This window comes from Homo sapiens, chromosome 14, assembly GCF_000001405.40.
Source record: "Homo sapiens chromosome 14, GRCh38.p14 Primary Assembly".
Taxonomy (NCBI): Eukaryota; Metazoa; Chordata; class Mammalia; order Primates; family Hominidae; genus Homo; species Homo sapiens.
Genome location: NC_000014.9, coordinates 63,980,483 through 63,998,019, shown reverse-complemented (window position 1 = coordinate 63,998,019; position 17,537 = coordinate 63,980,483). Strand labels below are relative to the sequence as shown.

Below are 17,537 nucleotides of genomic sequence, written 5' to 3'. Positions count from 1 at the left end.
GCAGCATGGTAAAGGAAGACTCCCAGCCCCAAAATGCTATTTCTGCCTGAGACTCCATACCCATAGTCAAAAGTAGACAGAAGCCTACCATGCAGGAGCAGACCTCTAAAAACAAATCCACCTCATCTCATTCCTTCCTCCACATGATCTGATTGACAGTCTGGACTGTAACACACAGTAAATACCAAATTATCTAGACTTCAGGAATTTAGAAAATTCAATTCCCACAGAAAATGAAATACATTATAATGCAGCAGAAGAAAAGGCAAATGATAAATGAACTTGTTCATCTCAATGAAATGGAAACATCTGTACAGATCAAGCTCAACCTCTTCTACCCTCAATAACAATATACACAGATAATCAGTATTCATAATGGTTCAAAAGGGTCTCTGCTTGAAAGAACTATTTGTATACTCAGAAGAAGATTAGGTTATGCTCACTGTAGCTTTGGTTAGTTGCATTCTCCTTTGAAAATCAGTCTTTTGCATTGTGTAAGTGGAAATTCTCCATTGATAAAAACAATCGAATAATTAAAACCAACACCTAATTAATGAGAAGTGAATTATTGTACACTTGGTCTTTTACTTTGGGTTTACTTCTAAAATACATTATCCACATTTAACACCTTTTCAGTTGATGGCTGATTATCTGATTTTGCAAATGGTGCCTCACTGTGGGGATCCCCTCCTCTATTCTCAGATGTGGTGATGGTCCCCCTAGAAAGGAATCAAAATTGCATGTTTAAAAGAGGGTAAGAAAAATGAAACCTAAACAAGCATGACTAACGCTTAATGTCATTTGATCGTGCAAAAGGCTTCGTTTTATCCTGAAGGGTAGCTATTCTTATGAAGTACTAACTCGTTTTTCGACGTGCCTCCCGCTGTGGGCTGCAGTGTCATATGAATCTCGGAAGCACATTTCAGAAGTCTTTCTATCTTTTGTTCATAATCTTTGAGTAGTCTCTTCACTTCTTGTTGACTCTTCTGTGAAGGCAGCTCTTCACACAGCTCCCTCAGGACTTCCATGTGGTGATTAAGCTGGTACAGGCAGCCTTCCTCAGAAAAGCAGGCCTAATTGAAGAAATAAAGCAGGAAATGTGCTTCTGGTGAGTTTACATGATTATTCCATAAGGACTAGAAACTAACAGATGTGTGTAGTTTTAACAATGTGTTCTTGTATAGGCCATCTACATGCTATGACAATAGGCGCTAGAGAAAAAAAGATGAGAGAGTCAGCTCTAAAGGAATTTCCGGTTCAGTAACCTAGACAGACAAAGAACCAGCACAGAGTGTGCTAAGTGTTATGATAGAGCCTACCCGCCTGAAGGAGTCAGAGAAAGCTTGCCTCACAAGAGGGAAGCATCTGAGCTATATGTGGAAGAAATAAGGACAAGTTCTCCAAGTAAAAGGGGAGAGAGGTTATTTCTAGCAGAAGGACCACCAAGAGGACGAAAAGCACGAAGATAATGAAAAGCACCAGGTGTCTCAAAGGACCAGAACTCCAGTGGGGCTGGAGTACACGGCACAGCAGGAGGGATGCTAAAGGGGTTTCCTGGACCAGGCAGTGAAGGAACTAAGTGGCCTTCTAAGATGCCTGGAATTGTCCTGGGGGTATGGGGAACTGGTGACATAGGATTTGTGGCTCAAAAGGACAACTCTGGTGCTGGTACGGAAGATGAGATGAAGCAACCATCATCATTCTGAGAAAAGAACCCTGGCTTAGGTAACTGGCAACACCACTGGGAAGGAAGAAGCTGTTCTGAAGAATCCCAGATGGGGCTTGGCAACAGATTTAATTAAGGCTGAGTGGAAAGGAAGGGAGGAAGGAGAGGAAGGGCGTCATGAGACAGCAATGCCATTCATTACCAGTAGGCAGAATATAAAATGAACCTTTGAGAGGAGATATTATTCGTTCAGTTTTGAGCTTGCTGAATTTGAGTTCTCCGAAAAACACTGGTGATATCTACTAGTCAGTGAGAAATAGAACATAGAATTCAGGTGAAAGGACTCAGCTGGAGAGAAAAATTGACGCACTATCATTGCAGAGAAGGCAGGTCAAACCCCAGAGTGCATAAAATCGCCTAAGGGAAGCACGGAATTAGCCAAAAGTGGAGGTGGAGACCCCTTCTTCAAAAGCAAAACATTAATAGAATAAAAAGGAATATTTGTGAAGACACTAAAAAGTACTCACTGCAAATTATATATCGCTATATATTTACATATCTACATCTATATCTGTTTATATATATCTAGATAGATAGATAGATAGATAGATAGATAGATAGATGGATAGATATAGAATTATATAAAGCAAGAGAGACTGACAGTGGGAGAGCCACAACAGTAGAAACTTAAAAAGAAATGAAAAAAGGGTCAGGAATGTCAAATACATAAAAGCAATCAAATAGGATAGAGACCAAAAAAAGATCATGAGATTTGCCCCAGCTGCTTTGTACCCTGATTTGCTCGTTTTCTCAAAAGCTGTGCTTCTGAGGACACTGTGTCCTGACAAAAGCCAACTGTGGGTACTTTAGTAACAGTTGACACATTTGTGACCAGAGTCTGAGGACAGGGGCCACTGAGACACATCAAGGGAAATCATAAAATATTAACTCAGTGCCGAATTTTCTCACTTCTAAAAAGTAAGAAGTACAGGCTCTGCTGCGAGTGTGAAGCAAAGAAGTGATCATCCCCGGGGAGAGGAGGGCTAGGGTAATTTTCAGAACAGTTTTCATCCTAGGCTAAAGATACACACAACCATTTAAGATAAACCCCAAAATGATGACAAAATTTAAGTGGAAACACTTTATTGTACCTCATGTTCTTTGATGAGACCCTTGGTCCTTCCTCTACGGATAAGTTTCTTTTCTTTATTTATTTGCTTTTCAAGTTTTAAAATATTGTCACTAAGCTTTCCTTTTTCAATATCTATTTTTAGTTGTTGAACATATAAAGACAGTTCATGATGAAGAGACTACAAAAAAAATCAAAGGAATATATTAACCATGAGAACAAAATATACAAAAAAGTATTTATAGTAACAATAAATATATGTGTAGTGACAAAAGGACAGAAACAAAGCTTAAGTGCCATTCTGATTCATCCATGTATTTTGGGGGGAGATGTTTTAAAACATCCCAGGCTCATAAACATGGTTTTTTTTTCTAACAAATAAAAATGTATTTTAGCTGTGAAAGGCACTGTTAAGAAAATGAAAAGACAAGCTACAGACTGAGGGAAACTATGCAAAACAGATAACTGAGCCCAAGGAGACATAAGTAAATGTAATGTATATCCTGGATAAGATTCTGGAACAGACAGAAAGAACATCTGAGGAAAACTGTGAAAAGGTAAATAAAGTGCAAACTTTAGTTAATACTAATGTATCACTCTGTCAGGGTAAACTGCTAGAAAAAATAATGTATTAACATTGACCCAGTAATCGTATCAACGATACTATACTAAGGTAAGATGCTGATAACAGAGGAATCTGGGCGTGGGGTACACTGGAACTCTCTGCACCATCTTTACAGTAATTCCGTAAATCTAAAACTATTCTAAAGTAATAAAGTTTATTTTAAAATGAGTTTTAGGAGGATCCTTAACAGTACATATTCAATCCACTTACATAGACATAGATATATAGACACACACATTTTAATTATCACATTAATTACACATTTCAATATTATCATTTAATATTAATTGCCATTAATTACCAGAACATAATCTCAGTGGTAGATGCTTTCTATAAATCCTTGCATCAATTCTGCCCAGTAGGTGGTGTTACCCCATTTTTATCAGGGAGGCTCCTAAAAGTTAAGTACCTTGCCCAGGGTCATAGCTGCTGAATCCAGGTTTGTCTGCCACCAAAGCCTAGACCTATTCCGCTATGAAACTCTGTATGAACCCTGGGACTTCAGCCTGCAGGGACCAGCCCACTGGTGATACAACGTAGACAGGAAAACCCCAGGAATGGCTCTGACAACCAACAGCCCAGGATCAGACATATAAAAACGTAAGTTCAGAAACATATGCATGTTCTTACCTCCCATTTGGCACAGACATCTCTACTCTTTTCTTCTAAAGACATCTTTATGTCCTCAGTTACATTATTTTTTAGTTCTTCAACAGCTTTCAAATACTTGGCCAGACTTTTTGTATTAGAAATTATTAGTGCTTCCTAAAAAAAAAAAAAATTGCAAACAAAATCATAAAAGCCTCATTCTACTGCCAAATCCTCAAAATCCTCTAAGCTAATTTTGGTATGTCTTTAACTGGTAAAGTGGGAAGGTGCTCTCTGAAGAATATCTGAAGATTTATAGGAGACTTCTCTTTGTAAATCGAGGTTGCTAGCCCTTTGAAATCTCTTAAATTCTTTTCAAAAGAGTGCCAAAATATTTATTATTCAAATGTAGTTACACATAAGGCCCAGATTAAGATACCTTTATGATATTCAAAATGATTTTTGTTACCCCATTGATAAGTAATTATAAAGTTCACTGTACAGGGTTAATGAGCCCCTGGCTAAGTTTCCTCTAAAGTTCTTAAGTATTGAGCAGACAACCATACTTCAGAAGCAATATAATATGAAGAGTATATCACAGTTTTGTTTCGTTTTGTTTTTTGTTTTGAGATAGGATCGCGATCTGTCACCTAGGCTGAAGTGCAGTGGCACAATCACAATTCACTGAAACCTCAAACTCCTGGGATCAAGCAAGCCTCCCACCTCAACCTCCCAAAATGCTGGGATTATAGGTGTGAGCCACATGCCTGGCCAAGACAAAATTTATAGAAAGGTTAACTATCGTGCATAAGCAGTTATGCTGAAAGGAGGCCAATTTGTTTCACCATCAACTTCAAAGTTTTGCCCAGGGCCACTCATGTTGGCAGTTCCTCCCCAGCAGTACACAAGAATGGGAACAGCCCTGACAGGTATGTGTCTGCTCCTAACCTGACATACTCTACAGGAACAGAAACCTGGCCTAGGTAACTAGCGAATGACAGAACAAAAAAACAGGTCGGGGCCTGTGTGTGAAAAAGGCAGAAAACCTACAGGAGAGAGAAGATGAATAACTCCGGGAGAAGCTAAGCAGGGTGGGAATTCGCTCATTCACTCATTACACATTTTTATGGACCGGCTGCAGGTAAGGCACAATGCTGAGCTCCAGGGCTCTCCTCCAAGGCCTCCTTGAGGACTGCTAGATTTATGACCTGGGGACACACTTTTACCCTGTATGCTATTCATAGCTGGGAGCTCCCACTGCCCATGTGTGCATGCCTACCAGGGCAGGGATCTTGCTTCTGTTGTGAGAGTGTATCCACTTGACTAAATGCCATTGGCAAAATGGGGGAAAACCAAAAGGAAGAAGGTCAGGGAGAGGAAAATGGTGTGAAAACTGACACCTCCAGCCCTTCTCTGGTAAAGGAGCCAAGAAGCTGGGCACAGTGGCTCACGTCCATAATCCCAGCACTTTGGGAGACCGACATGGGAGGATCACTTGAGGCCAGGAGTTTGAGACCAGCCTTGACCAACAGAGTGAGACCCTTTCTCTATAAAAAAAATTTTTTTAAATTAGCTGGGCGTAGTGGTGTTTGCCTGTAGTACCAGCTACTTGGAGGCTGAGGCAGGAGGATAGCTTGAGCCCAGGAGTTGGAGGCTGCAGTGAGCTGAGACAGCACCACTGAACTCCAGCCTGGGTGACAGAGTGAGACCCTGTCTCTAAGAAAAATAAAAATTCAAAGAGGGAGACTAGGACCCTCTATTTTTTTTTTCCTTCTCTTTTTCCTGACCAGACCATCTCTACCCACCTAGAATCCAGCCTCACCATCGTTTAAAACAAGCATTCATTCTTAAGGTCAATTTAGTACTTTCAGGAACCTAGGAGTAAAAGTGAAAATAAAAAACAGAGGGAAGTGGTTGAAGGTGGCAGCTAGCAAAATTCAAACGGCGTGAGATCAAGCAGACAAGGGCTACTAAGGTCATAGGAAAAGCAATGCTGAAATGACTGACAACAGGGCCCCAGCGTGGTTAGCAAATCCAGTAGGCCAAAACAGGGTTGAGGCCCAGAAGACAGACAGAGGCCGTGATGAGAATGAAGAGAGACTCCTATAGGGCGCCCTTTCATAAAGAGTAGGCGCAGGAATGGGGCAATGCCTTCCTGCATCTTTATTTCCCCTAAATGCCCAGCTCATTATAAGTGTTCAATAAAGTGTGCTAAATGCTGAATATGAATGAAAAAAAGTATTACTCTACCTCTCCAATTTGCTCCAAGGTAGAGGCATTTAGCTTTGCTTCTAATCCCCCAAGCACCTCCCACCATGTTAATTAATAGTGAGTCTCTGGTTTGGTGACATCTTAAGCTGCAACCTCAGCCTATCAAACCATAAAAATCAACCTGAAACTGTCTCCATACAAAACATTATTGGGTCTTTAACTATAGAAAAGTATGCTTCCATGAATAACTTTTATCAAAGTATTTTAATAATAATGGTTTTTTTTACATTCAGAGAATGTATGCAAAGTAACTTCACGTACCTTATTTTCACTTAAAGCCTCACAACAAATCCGACAGCTGGATAGGGCTGGAATTATTATGCCAATTTTACAAATTAAAAAGCCAGAGAAATTAAATTCTTGTTCAATGTCATAGAGTCGGCTGCACTCTTTACACCGTATCACTGAGTACATTCAGCAGATCCACAATAAAATTTGAATAAAAAAATTCTATACTTGAATACTTACGTTTAATAACCTCAGGGGAACAATATAGAATACTGGGAAATTCTTTTTAAGTTACAGTAACTCAGTATATAATTACAGTGAAGGAAACATCTTGATTTCAAACAAGATAGGCAGTTAACAATAATGTCCTACATTTGATGGTTGAAAAGATTCCCACCTTGTGTTTTGAAATGAGTTCACCGGGGCTCTCTCTTTGCCCCAGTAACTGCTGAGCCCTCATCATATATGATTCAAGTTCCTTCTGGGATTCTTCCATCTTCAGCCTGATGTCCAAATCTGGTGAAACGTCAGTTAAGTTCTTCAACGCTGCAATGAGTTTTACCACATTGATCTTGAAGACAAAAAAATTCTCAAATTAACACGGGGACCAATTCTTAATAAATTCTTAAGTTAACAAATACTTTGTTATTTTCCCACTAGACAAAGATATTTAGATATCTATCTAAATTATGATAAATCTATCTAAATTATAAATCTATCTAAATTTAGATATCTATCCAAATTGATACTTATATACTATGATACTTATGATACTTATATTTTCTGATACGCTTTAAATTATAAAGAAATAAAACATAATGCAAAAGTAATATTTTACAAAACATTTCCAAGCTACAGGGCTATCACCCCCCTTCACTGCCCACTCAGTGACCCCTCAGTTTTAGAGAACAGAATTACTAAATAGGGAATATTAAAGAGAGACCTGGACTTTCTCTTTAGCTTCTTGAATCTTTGCCTGAAGCCCAGTTGTGAGAACATGTTGAAAGGACTCCTGGCTTGAAATATTTTGTATATCCATTTGTAACATATCTTCACTTCTTGCCATAAGCTCATCAAACATAGAGCCTTTGGCAATAAGATGCTATTAAAACAAATTGAAGTGAGATCACAATAAACATTCTGATTATATGCTAAACATTAATCAAAACAATCTCAGGAAACCAAAAAAGTTCATTATTAATCCAAAATCAGGCAAATTTGCATTCTGAAAAATGATATTTTAAGGAGTCATTTTGAAATTTCATATTGATACAATCAGATTCTGAACATGTTTTATGGATCATTCTTTATACAGTAAGCACTTCAATAAAATAAAGAATGAAAGTAATACAATGACAATAGAAAGAAACTTGAGACAATGGTAATAAATATTAAAATGATCTTGTTCTATGTCAAAGTAGTGGAGAGGAGAATTCAATAAATGTTACTGGGGAAAATAGCTGTTGGAAAATAATCTTTATATATCATAACAAAAATAAATTTCAAATGGGTCAGAAATATGAAACCACAAAAAGAAGACATTATCCATAAAAACCAAGCTGCGGCCAGGCACAGTGGCTCACGCCTGTAATCCTAGCACTTTGGGAGGCTGAAGTGGGCTGATCACCTGAGGTCAGGAGTTCGAGACCACCCTGGCCAACATGGTGAAACCCCATCTCTACTAAAAATACAAAATTAGCTGGTCATGGTGGCACACGCCTGTAGTCCCAGTTACTCGGGAGACTGAGGCAGGAGAACTGCTTGAACCCAGGAGGCAGAGGTTGCAGTGAGCCAAGACTGTGCTCCTGAACTCCAGCCTGGGTGACAAGAGTGAAACTCCATCTCAAAAAATACAATAAAATAAATGAAATAAAATAAAACTGCCGGTGGCTCATGCCTGTAATACCAGCACTTTGGGAGGCTGAGGTGGGTAGATCAGTTGAGGTCAGGAGTTTGAGGTCAGCCTGGCCAACATGGTGAAACCCAGCCTCTACTAAAAATACAAAAATTAGCCAGGTGTGGTGGCGGGCGCCTATAGTCCCAGCTACTTGGCAGGCTGAGGTAGAAGAATCTCTTGAACCTGGGAGGTAGAGATTGTAGTGAGCCAAGACTGCACCACTGCACTCCAGCCTGGGCAACAGAACGAGACTCTGTCTCAAAAAAATAATAAAATAAAATAAAATCTGATCTGCTATCTCGCTGCAGAGGGTCTTTCGAAGCCTAAGAGTAGGGATAGACATGACTGCATAAATATAAAAAACCTGCAATGCAAAATAAAATAAACAAAGTCAACAACTCAGCAAAAATATTTGACACAGAAATGAAAATGGATCACAATTCAAAGAGCTTGTATAATTCAATTTTAAAAATGCCAAGATCCCAAAGAAAATTTTGAAAATCTAAGAACAGATAATTCATAGAAACAGATGTCTAATAAATATGATAGTTCAATATTACATGTAGTCAAATAAGTACCCATTAAAACAATAAGTGAGATACCACTTTTCACTTCTCAAGTTAGCAAAAAATAATTTTTTAATTACAACTCACAGTGGCATGGTGATATGGTTTGGCTGTGTCCCCACCCAAATCTCATCTTGAATTCCCACGAGTTGTGAGAGACACCCGGTGAGAGGTAATTGAATCATGAGGGCAGATCTTTCCTGTGCTGTTCTCAAAATAGTGAATAAGTTTCACGAGATCTGATGATTATATAAAGGGGAGTTTCCCTGCACAAGCCCTCTGCTCTTGTCTGCCACCACATAGACATGACTTTCACCCTCCACCATGATTGTGAGGCCTTCCCACACACGTGGAACTGTAAGTCCATTAAAACTCTTTCTTTTGTCAATTGCCCAGTCTCAGGTATATCTTTAACAGCAGGGTGAAAACAAACTAATATACATGGGTATGATAAAATAGAAGTTATAGTATGTGATATCAACTATGTAAATGTTGATCTTATTTGTCTTGGGGCAGTGGAATCACAGTGATTTCAATTTTTTTGAAATTAGCATGTTCATTTATCATTTCAGTTTTTCCCTCTTTTAAATTATAAAACCAACAAAAAAGCTCATGTAATTAAAAAAAACTGAAAAACAATAGAAAGGTACAGCATGTAGAGAAAATATTTATAGCTGGGCACGGTGGCTCACGCCTACAATCCCAGCACTTTGAGGGGCTGAGGCGGGCAAATCACTTGAGCCCAGGAGTTCAAGGCCTGCCTGGGCAATACAGCAAAACCCTATCTCTACTAAAAATATAAGAATTAGCTGGGCGTGATGGCGCATGCCTGTAATCCCAGCTACTTGGGAGGCTGAAGTGGAAGGATCACTTGAACCTGGGGAGGTCGAGTGAGCCATGGTTGTGCCACTGTACTCCAGCCTGGGTGACAGAGCAGAACCCTGTCTCAAAAAAAAGGAAAGAAAATATTTATTTTATGTCTACCATGTACTAGGAGCTGAGCATAACACAGGATTAAGATAGACTCAGTTACAGGTATATCTTTACAGATATTTTTCTATGAATATAAATGTATTACATATAAAAATACAACTCTGTTTAAAAACCACAAATGAGATTACATTATCTCATTATCCACACAGTTTAGGAACTTTCATTTCTTACTTTAGAATACATCTTGATCCAATATTTTGATCCAATGAATATCTACTTAATTCTTTCTTAATAGAAATATATTTCAGTGTGCTTGTATGTTCACTAAAATTTTTAAATTATTTAAAAAATTTTTAAATATTTAATTTCTACCTCATTTTTTTCAAGAAAATAAATTCCAGATAGAGTAAATAAATACTAAAAATAAAATCAGAAAAGCACTGGCAGATGAGATGGCATGATAGATTTATATAATATTTTCAAAGCAATAAAAACTATCACACAATGAAAACACAAAATGCTGAAATATACACCTTTCAGAAATGTAGGCTTAAAAAATTATATAAATGTTCCTTTTTATTCCAGGAACTTCCCATCTTGTTGTAACTTATGCTCTGTAGGTTTTACAGCTGAGCTGGAACTCAGTAAAAACCTCAATGATAACTCCCAGGAGAACTAAGTGATATTAAGACACACTCTTGCCTCACTGCCTTTCAATGAGTTGACTGCCTGAGAATAAAGACAGAATGGAGATCTAACAACATGAGTCACTCTCCCTGCATTGAGTAAGGAAAGGAGAGTGGCTTCATCAGAGGGTGAACTTTCAAAGCATAGATTGTATGATTTCTTTTTTTTTTTTTCCCAGAAGGAGTCTCACCCTGTCGCCAGGCTGGAGTGCGGTGGTGCAATCTCGGCTCACTGCAACCTCCGCCTCCTGGGTTCAAGCAATTTCTCCTGCCTCAGCCTCCCGAGGAGCTGGGACTACAGGCGTGCGCGCCACCACGTCCAGCTAATTTTTTGTATTTTCAGTAGAGACGGGATTTCACCATATTGGCCAGGATGGTCTCTATCTCTTGACCTTGTGATCCACCCACTTCAACCGCCCAAAGTGCTGGGATTGCAGGTGTGAGCCACCGCGCCCAGCCTGATTATATTATCTCTTACGTGTACTCTGCACTGAGCTATAATGAGACTGAACTCACTCGTCTCCTCATTGTCCTCTGGTGCAAGAAAATATTTTAACCCCCATGTTATAGCTAAGAAAATAAGTCCAAGAGCTTAACATTCATAGGTATTATCAGTGGTCTCCTAATCTATCCTCTGCTTTCAAGCAAAATAACAGCAAATGATCCAGGGATAAAATCCATTCATTTTTAAAACTCCCAACAAAGAAAATTAAAACTGTAGGCTTATTACTACTTACTTTAAAACTTCTTATTTAACTTAAAACATAAATGCACAACCATGAAAGTACCCTCTTAATACTTTTACACACATACCTTCAAAGATTCTTCCATTGAGGTGTCCACATCATCTTGATCCAAAACAGATTTGGCTTCTGCCTCCCAGATTTCCACTTGTCCAATGAGTTTTTCAACATCTTTAGCCACTTTTAGTTGCCCTGTGAATTCTTCATTTTCTTTTTCATGTTTCTCTCCAGCCTACAACATTCAAAAGTACCACTGAGAAAATGTCAGCATGTACATAACAAAATAATTTTCCTTTTCAAAAAGTTACACCTGTAATCCCAGCTCTTTAGGAGGCCAGGGCAGGAGGATTGCTTGAGGCTAGGAGTTTGTGACCAGTCTGGGCAACAAAGCGGGACCTCATCTCTACAAAAAATTTTAAAGTTAGCTGGGCATAATGGTGCATGCCTGTAGTTCTAGCTACTCAGGAGGCTGAGGCAAGCGAATTGCCTAAACCCAGGAGTTTGGGGCTACAGTGAGCTATGATCATGCCACTGCATTCCAGCCTGGGCAACAAAGCAAGACCCTGTCTTCAAAAATAAAAGATAAAAAAGTTACACCACTTTCTTTCCTGAAGAGTGCTAATTAAACATATTTTAATGACATAAGATGTAGTTCTTTGACAATAATAACTTTTTTCTTCTATATGAGGTCTCGCTTTATTGCCCAGGCTGGAGTACAGTGGCACAATCACAGCTCATTGCAGCCTCAACCTCCCAGGCTCAAGTGATCCTCCTACCTCAGCCTCCTGAGTGGCTGGAATTACAGGTGTATGCCACTACGTCTAGCTAAGTTTTTATATTTTGTAGAGATGGGGTCTCACTGTGTTGCCCAGGCTGATCTTGAACTCCTGGGCTTAAGTCCCATCTCAACCTCCCAAAGAGCTGGGATTACAGGTATGAGACACTATGCCTGGCCAATGATAACACTTCAAAATAGTATATATCACTTTGCAAATTTTTAAAAAGTTTGTTCACGGTTTCTTACTTAATTATAATATCATTCCTATCAGATAATATTTTATACATTTTACATGTAAGAAGATTAAAGTTTAGTAAATTAGGGTGACTATAAACACATTTCTAAAACTCATATGCGATTTAAACAAATATAGCTCTTAGTAATGGTAGTTGTAAAATATCAAGAAGAAACTCAAATCAAATTTCAACAAAATTAAATCTTTTTCCCATTAATAATCTATAGGTTGACATACTATAGCTTTACATGATAGATACATTATTTCTTAAACTATATATTGACAAATTATAATGGCTTATATTTATGGAGTACACAGATACACTCTTTTTTTTTTTTTTTTTTTGAGATGGAGCCTCGGTCTGTCACCCAGGCTGGAGTGCGGTGGTGCAATCTTGGCTCACGGCAACCTCCGCCTCCCGGGTTCAAGCAAGTCTCCTGCCTCAGCCTCCCAAGAAGCTGGGATTACAAGCACCCGCCACCACTCCCAGCTAATTTTTGTATTTTTAGTAAATACGGGGTTTCACCACGTTGGCCAGGCTGGTCTCAAACTCCTGACCTCAAATGATCTGCCTGCCTTGGCCTTCCAAAGTGCTGGCATGAGCCACCGCTCCCAGCCGAAAGATACATTCTGAAAGTTGTTTTTAATCAGATCACTGTTTTATTTATTTTATTTATTTTAAATAGAGATAGGGTTTCACTACGTTGCCCAGGTTGGTCTCGAACTTGAGCTCAAGCAATCCTCTTGCCTCAGCCTCCCAAAGTGCTAGAATTGAAGGCATAAGCCACCTTGCCTGGTCAGATTACATTTTAAATGTATCAGAAGACTCTAGTATTTTAAGCACACTGCAAAAATTCAGATCTTTCCAGATTTTCTAAGTAGGTATTCTTACAGTAGGAAAATGCTGGCACTCCATCATGCCAGTAGGTCTGAGCCAGTTTAAAAGTAGTTTAAGTAAAGCTGTGTAAGTTATCATGAAGGTGGAGCATTTCCAAAGCCATAGGTATTATATCTTACAAGTATATGATTTTTAATTTATTTTTTGTTCTTTTCCCATACTTGGTAGGATGACTCTAAAGTCATCCTCCAAATTACCCAACAAAACAAGGAAGAAATAGAATATTTTCCCCCATTTTACAGAAAGGAAGCAAGACACACAGAGGCCAGGGGCTAGCCTAAAGGTAGCCAATTTCTGTGCACTAGTCAGAAGTAATCTCAAGAAAATAACAACTCAATTTACACTGCTCAGAATCAGGACTGCTCTGTGTGTCTGTGAGAGCACAGTAAGTGTAATAAGTAAGACTTTCATGCTAAAGACTTCATAAGGGAAAACATTTAAGCATTTTCCTAGGAAATGACCATACTTTAAATGTTATCTAGCAATCCACACATTTACCACCAACTCAACAATATCTTTTCTTTCTTTTTTTGAGACGGGAGTCTTACTCTGTCACCCAGGCTGGAGTGCAGTGGCACGATCTCGCCTCACTTTCAACTTCCAGCTCCCAGGCTCAAGCAATCCTCCCACCTCAGCCTGCCAAGTAGCTAGAACCACAGGCGCACAAACACACGTCCAGCTAATCTTTCGTATTTTTGGTATAGACAGGGTTTTGCCACGTTACCCAGGCTGATTTCGAACTCCTGAGTTCAAGCCATCCACCTGTTTTGTCCTCCCAAAGTGCTGGGATTACAGGCATGAGCCACCGTGCCCGGCAATATCTTTTTTTTAATAGCAAAGTTAAATTATTTCTATTTGCAAGTGAAATATACAAAGTATGATTATTTTACCTTTATATTTTGATTATAATTTTCAGGAAGTTCTACTGACATATCTGTTGAAAACTCAACAGTTGCTTTCTCTTCTTTAGATAGAATATTTCCAGAATTGTCAAAAGTGGGCTGATCCTGTTTTTTTATCATCAGTGGCAGGTTCATTTCCTATACAAAATAATTTCATGAAATGTAATACTCATATTTTTATTTTATGCTAATATACATTACAAACAGTAAGTGGATGTAATATATTCAAATATATGTTTAGGATTAAACTACAACAGTGTTATAAAATATGAGCATTTCACATAAAACACCTACATCTCAAATTGTTAAGAATCAGTTGAAAAAATATTTTATAAAAAGTCTGCTTTTATGAGGCACTATGCTACATATAAAGATACATAAGGCTCAGTGTATGTTCTCAATGAGCTGAAAATCTAGTAGGCAAAACAATGCTTGTTTTTCCTTCATGGTAAGTGAATTTCAACTAGAAAGCTCTACAGTAAAAAGGGTTCAAGAATTAAAAGATCTCTCAGGCATATACTCAAGAAAGATTCAAGAACTGAAAGCTCTCTTGAGCATACACTCAAAGAAAACATGTGTCCATATGAATGTCCACAGCTGCATTGTTCATAAAAACCCAAAAAGTTAAAAGAACTCAAATGTGTATAAACTAGAGAACGGATAAACAAAATGTGGTATATCCATACAATGAATTATTATTTGCCAATAAAAAGGAATGAAGTACGATTACATTCTATAATACAGATGAACCTTAAAAATATTATGCCAAGTAACAAAAGCCAGTCACAAGACATCACATATTATATGATTTCATTATGTGAAATGTCCAGAATAGGCTAATCTATAGAAAGACAGTGGATTCATGGTTGTGTAGGGCTTAGGGGGTGGGGGTTGGAAGAAAATAGGGAGTGACTGCTAGGGTTTCCTTATGAAGTAATAAAAATGTTCTAAATTTTTTATGGTAATGGCTACGTAACTGTGCATATACCAGAAATCAATTGGTTATGAACTTACAATGAGTAAATTGTGTGGTACATGAATCATATCTAAATAAAGCTGCAACCAATCAAAAGAACTTACAAGTTGAGTTTTTGAAACCAACTTTCTCCATCTTTTATTCAGCCTTCTCAGTTCTTTAGAAATAGATGATCCAACCACATCATTGCTGACTTCGACTAAGAAATTTCCTGCTTCATTTAAAGTAGCGTGTTCTAGATTCCACTGGGCTAGTGTCTCAAAGGGTACCTACATGATACACAAGCAACACACTATCTTAATGACACGATATTGTCTTTCTATTATGTATAATCAATGTTCACCAAGGCTTTTTTCTTTTCTTTTTTTTTTTTTTTTTTGAGATGGAGTCTTGCTCTGTTGCCCAGGCTGGAGTGCAGTGGCGCAATCAAGGTCATTGCAACCTCCGCACCAAGACTAATTCTAAGCAACATTCTTTGCAGAGACTGACTTTCCCCTTAGAGGAGTCTGCCATCCCTGTTGGTCTAGCTCTTCCCTCTTAAGTGCTAACTGGCAAATGCCAGCTGTCTGTCATCACTCCTGGTCCTGAACTTTTATGATGCATCTTATCTCTTTCTACATGGCTGATGAACTTACAGCAGTGGTTTCCAAACTTGTTTAGTTCATGGAGCCTTAACTGTCTCATTAATTTTTTCGGAGAGTCCCTAGACCAGAAATATTATCTAACAGTTCCCATTTTTAGTAGTCAGGTTCAACAACTTAGTAGCAGCATGGTGTCCAACAGATGGATGTTGTTGTGTCTCCTTCAAATTTTAGAGTGTTCTGTAAGTTCTCTTAGTTCTCTCTGGTAGCTCAGGGTTTCTTAGCAGTTTTGGGTATTACAACCTTAGCGTGTTTTTCTCTGAGTTATGTACATTTTTATAGAAGATCTTTAAAGACAGAAAGACTGTTGGAAGACGAAGATTTGAATTTCTAGTGCTAATACAGGTAACAGAAGTGATGACTCAACCCGTAAAATGCTCTTTTTTGCACTCTTACCGTTATCACAAATTTTACATTAACACAAATAATCTATTTTCTATTAATTTTAGTTTCTATTTTGGAAATGTTTAATCTGAAAGGCTATCTATAGCCATCTGCAACAGAGAAAAACAAATGAAAGAAAGAAAAACCACCTCAGATAATCATAGAACAGATTATTACATAAATAACACATGAAAACAATAATGAATTACATTGACAGTTCTTCCACACCTCTACACATAAGTTACGGTATCTTGATTTTCCTCCTATAGAAACTCAGGAAGATTTTAGAGCTGAAAGGTTTCAACCAAATGGAAAAATAAAACTTTCTGAACAGTAGTTTATTTTAACTGTGTCTATAAGCTAGCCAGTACATTAAGTCTTATTTCCTCTCCAAAGAGCTTAGCAAAACATCTCCCAAAAGCTATTACTCTGTATGTAAATTATACCTTAAGAAAGCTCTATGTGTGGGAAGAGGGGGGCGTGTATGTGCGTGTTTGACCATGTATATATAAACCAGTGGAGAAAACTACCTCTTGGCAATTATATCAGGAAGAAACTAAATTCTTTCCAAGACCTTGAAGAATTTTCCAAAACACTGGTGTACTCTTCTCTGTTTTCTCATCTTTGGATTGAAAATGAGGGTCACAAAATAAAACAATTAAAAAATAAAATTGAGCAGATGCTATTAGACTGCAAATACCTCTTTAATTTCTTCCTTCTTTGTCTCCTCAAAGCAAGCCCTTAGTAAGCGAAGGTTTTCCACATAAGTAGCCCAACATGCCAGCACTTTTTGTAGAGTGGACTTCACATTATATATATTTTTTCTATACATACAAACATCAGATTTCACCATCATATACTGTTTATTAATATTCTGACATTCTCCAGCTACAATATTAACAAAACAAAAAAGTAATCTTAGAAAACAATTTTTTATTAATACTATTTAAAAATATTTGCATATTAATTGACAGCGGCAAAATAATATGTACTCTGACAATATTAAAAGTGAAAGCAAGAATTTTCCCAGGAAAACATGCACATAAAACTAATTTCTAAAACATTATATAGAAAGCACAACAGATAAAACATCACTGTTAAGTGACAGTCATTCCATCAGAAAGTAACTGAACCACTTTACCCAAATTCTTATAAATTTCTCCACATTTTTGAAAAGAAGTATCAAGTCGAGCTAGGAATTCTTTTTCTTCAATAAATTTCTGGGAAGAAAACAAAAAACATATTGACAGTTTTTACTTTTAAAATTGTGCCAAGAAATCCAGATAGTGAGATACAGCCATTCAACGAAGGACAGAGTTACCAAATTTCTTTAGGGCTTTAATACTACATATTTGGTAGGAAAACAGGAAGAAGGATGGTGAAAATCTAGG

The 17,537-nt window shown here is 37.9% G+C and overlaps 1 protein-coding gene across 29 annotated transcripts in view; it reads right to left on the bottom strand.

The window, feature by feature from the left end:
• SYNE2 (spectrin repeat containing nuclear envelope protein 2) overlaps positions 1–17,537 on the bottom strand; it is a 464,854-nt gene that overhangs the window by 228,430 nt on the left and 218,887 nt on the right. For all 29 annotated transcript variants that reach the window (XM_047431152.1, XM_011536576.3, XM_047431149.1 and 26 more), the window contains 11 exons: positions 17,288–17,366; positions 16,847–17,034; positions 15,226–15,390; positions 14,134–14,283; positions 11,403–11,564; positions 7,451–7,609; positions 6,905–7,078; positions 4,051–4,185; positions 2,818–2,976; positions 862–1,073; positions 629–719 (listed from right to left, as the gene is read on the bottom strand). In XM_047431152.1, the coding sequence (XP_047287108.1) occupies positions 629–719; positions 862–1,073; positions 2,818–2,976; positions 4,051–4,185; positions 6,905–7,078; positions 7,451–7,609; positions 11,403–11,564; positions 14,134–14,283; positions 15,226–15,390; positions 16,847–17,034; positions 17,288–17,366 (1,674 nt within the window). The remainder of the gene's footprint in view (positions 1–628; positions 720–861; positions 1,074–2,817; positions 2,977–4,050; positions 4,186–6,904; positions 7,079–7,450; positions 7,610–11,402; positions 11,565–14,133; positions 14,284–15,225; positions 15,391–16,846; positions 17,035–17,287; positions 17,367–17,537) is intronic.